The sequence below is a fragment of the Homo sapiens genome, chromosome 5 (genome assembly GCF_000001405.40).
Source record: "Homo sapiens chromosome 5, GRCh38.p14 Primary Assembly".
Lineage (NCBI taxonomy): Eukaryota > Metazoa > Chordata > Mammalia > Primates > Hominidae > Homo > Homo sapiens.
Genome location: NC_000005.10, coordinates 158,511,619 through 158,515,566, shown reverse-complemented (window position 1 = coordinate 158,515,566; position 3,948 = coordinate 158,511,619).

Genomic DNA, 3,948 nt, shown 5'->3' with positions numbered 1-3,948 from the left:
GAGTGTAGTGGCACGATCTCGGCTCACTGCAACTCCACCTCCTGTGCTCAAGTGATTCTCCTGCCTTAACCTCCCAAGTAGCTGGGACTATAGGCATGCGCCACCATGCCAGGTGATTTTTTTTGTATTTTTAGTAGAGATAGGGTTTCACCATTTTGGCCAGGCTGGTCTTGAACTCCTGACCTCAGGTGATCTGCTTGCCTCGGCCCCCCAAATTGCTGGGATTACAGGCTTGAGCCACTATGTCCGGCCTGAAGCTGCGTCAATTTCTTAATTTCTCAAAGAAAGAGAGAAGTTCAGCACTGAAACTTGGGCATTCATGGAGTTACAAGATGCCCTGGAGACCTAAAAGATGAGTAATAGAAGTAGGGTGAAGAGAACAAACTTTATTTACTTTGAATGTTTGCCCCAAACTCCACTTTGTCCTAGTCCTACTAACACTCATTAAAAACCAGCACTATGTATGAGTGCTGTGCCACTGCTGTCTCTGTAACTGGCAGCACTTGCTTAGGGCTCCTAAGATTGGCTCCTTATGGGGTTGGCTTTTTCATGAACTTCGGTGTGAGAAACAGGTAAGTTTCCTACTTCTCTAAGATCTTAATATAGGAAAAATTAGCCAGAAGCTTGTGAGGGGAAGCTAGCCAAGGTGTGTGTTTGCTGGAAATAAAATCAGTGGGCCTTCCAGGGCTGGGGAAATGGACTTGGGGGTATTTCTTCACCATCTGTCCAGTCTCCAGTGTGTCTTGATAGATGGTTTTCCCCTATAACCCATTAGTCACCTCATCCCTCTCTCTGAGCTCTGTTTTTTGAAATATGGTTATCTCATTTGAATAGCAATGAGTAAGTGCATTGGAAGCTACTTGAATGCATTCTGAATGCATTAAACTGGAAACATACAATTCAGTGACATACCTATTGCCAAACTATAGTAAAAGTTGAAGTGATTAAAACAATTTAATGGCATGAACATGCATCCAGAAAGGAAGAGAGAGAGAGAGAGAGAGGGACAGTAATTTTTTCCAGTGCAGCATCAGCCCAGTGGTTGATACTTTGGAAGAAGTGGGTGGAGGCCCTTGCCAAGAGAAAGTGAAATAATTGATGAAGACCCAAAGGAAAATGTCCTTGATCTTGAAGTTATTACTTCATTTCATGAAATACCTTAAAAGTCAGTGAAAGACTACAAAGTCAGAAAGTCAATTGTTTTTTTTCCCCTTGGATACAATTCCAATATGTGCATATAAACACGTCACAGAGTTCTCTTAAAAAAAAGTATAGCTTGGGATCTAGGTCATGCTTTCAAATAGCCTTATTATACCCGTTATGAAGTGGACACTCAGGTATTTGGCTTGGAACTTTTATCCACACCCAAATGGCTGGGTGATTTATAACTTGCTATCCACATTCTCATAGCTGTTTGGTCAATGTTAAAGCCTCAAATTAGGCTTGACGTTTATCAGAAAATACACACACACACACACACTGAACTATCATTCAGCAAATGATGTCATAGGCTAACCACTATTTCCAAGTACCTTTGCACTGGAGCTAGATTCTAGTTATATGTTCTTCCTCCCTCCCTCCCTCTCTCCTTCTCTTTCTCCCTTCCTTCTCTCCCTCTCTCCTGATGTTCTTTCCTTTCTCCCTTCCTTTCTTCTTTTCTTTCTTCCTTTCCATTTTTTTTCTTCTCCCTGTCCCTCTCTCTATTCCCTCCCCTCCTGTTTCTCCTCCTCGTTCTTCTTTTTAACATTCATAGCACGGGAAATAAATGATTGACTTCTTCTTGTCTTATTCCAACTGATTTCATTCTCTTTTGTTTTGGAAATAGTGCTAAAAACCTCAGGAGGAAATGTTTTTTGTTCAGTGACTGATCTTGATACTTCCTGCTTCTTGTCAAGCCAGAAATAGCTCCTCAACAACTGCAACCAGGGAGTAGCAAGAAGTGCGAAAATGAAATAAAAATTTGTGTATTTCTCCGCACAGAAAAAAAATCCATTGTTCATTCATAAATAAATAAATATTGATTGGGCTCCTCTGATGATAGGTCTTGTGCTCATGCTGGGGCTACAGCAACAGACAAAAAAAGAAATGATTCCTCATATCACTGAGCTCAGAGTCCAGTTGATCAATACTTACCTTGAGAAACAGTGCTGTGGACATGGTCTGTTACCCTCCCAGGTAACAGGAGGAACATTTGTTTCTCCACGTGTATCACTATGGGGTCTGGGGGAATTAACACTATCTTCAGCTAATAGTCAAGCCCTAACTGGCCTAAATTGATTAATATAATCTCATCCCTAGAGTACAGTATAGTACAGTTATTGTGTCAGAGATGGACACATGAACTATGTTGGTCCAATCAGAGAGAGTATCTTTGCTTAATGACTAAGGAAGGAGAACCAACTTCTCTCCTCTCTCTCTCTCTCTCTCTCTCCCCCTTTCTCTCCTCATTATCTTCCTCCCCATTCCTGCTGAATGTGAATGAGAAAGCAACAAGTCATACTGTGGCCATGAAGGGGGCCAGGCCTAAAGTGAAAATGGAAAGCAGAAAGAAATCAGGTATTTGGTAACATAGTAAGCTGCTGGATCAAACCCTAGCTAAAGCTTCTTGATGTTCAACTACTTTCTTCATCTATATACAGGTTTTACTTGCATTTCCTACCCCTTAGAGGTAAAAGAATACTGATACACACAGGGATGTATGGCTTATTCAACAATTTGAGAAATACAATATTCTACTCACAAAAATGTTCCATGTAACTGAAATGATACTTTATCAAATATACTTGATTTATTTTTTATAATTATTCTAAATTATACACATTGATGCCTTAAAAATTATACCAAATAAAAGATGTGAGAAGTACTCATATAATCCTAAATACTTCCTCCATGTTCCATAGTACACTGACATCTTTGCAAACTACTGATGTGGATCGAATTGTTGTCTACATGCTAAATATTTCTGAATACCACCCTTTTTTAAAAGCTGCACTTTGGAGTTTTGCAGTTATATTCTTAGCTTCCAGCTTCCACTCTGTGTGAAGATCATGACGCCAACCTTTAATAGCTATTTATTCCATATAAATTACTGCTTCTAAATCTGTTACAAGCTGGGAAACCATATTACTGAGTTTGTTAGAATTGTTTTTAAAACAAGAATGAATGGACACTACGTAAATGCCTTGGGGGCAGGGGGCAGGCAGCAAGTCTCCTGTCTATTACATGTTCTTAACCCTATTGTTGGAACTCTAAGGCTCCATGTAGAGGCCTGAGAAGCCTACACAGGAGATAAGAAAACAGAGCTGTGGGGTCCTGGGAACACCCCCTCCCCATTTCTGCTTCAATCAGCGCATTTCCATTTTTATCTGTTTTATGTAACAGAGTTCTGAAAAAGATTTCATTTGAAATAAAGATTCAATTCTTTAAAGAAAAGAAATGCTCCCCTATACCAGCGTATACGATGGAATACTGTACTAGTTATTTTCAGGTAGAATATTTTCCATAGTAGAGGTAAAGTCTTGGTTTTGGAAACTTACCTACACAATTCCAGTGAAGAGAAATAAGAAATAAGAATTGCAGTCTCTGCCTTGTGGAAAATGGCTTAATTTAGTTTTACTAATGTTGCTTATTCAAATCTCATCTCAACAAAATGCATCTTTGCAATGTCAACAGTCCATTTTGCTCCATTAAATCTAAGGTGTTATGAAGCTATAAGATATAAGGTGTTATGTAAGATATACCATTATTGTATGTAGAATTAAGAAAGAAAAAGCATGGCCAGTTAAACCATACACTGCACATATCCTTTGTGCACCACTTCACCTACAACAGTTCTGTGTAGTGTTTGGCCTGCTTCTGACTGCTTCCTGCCCCAGAATTTCTCTGACACTGCACTGCAGAATGCCTGCAGCCTTGACATTTACACACCTGCAACTTAAGGATGTGGGG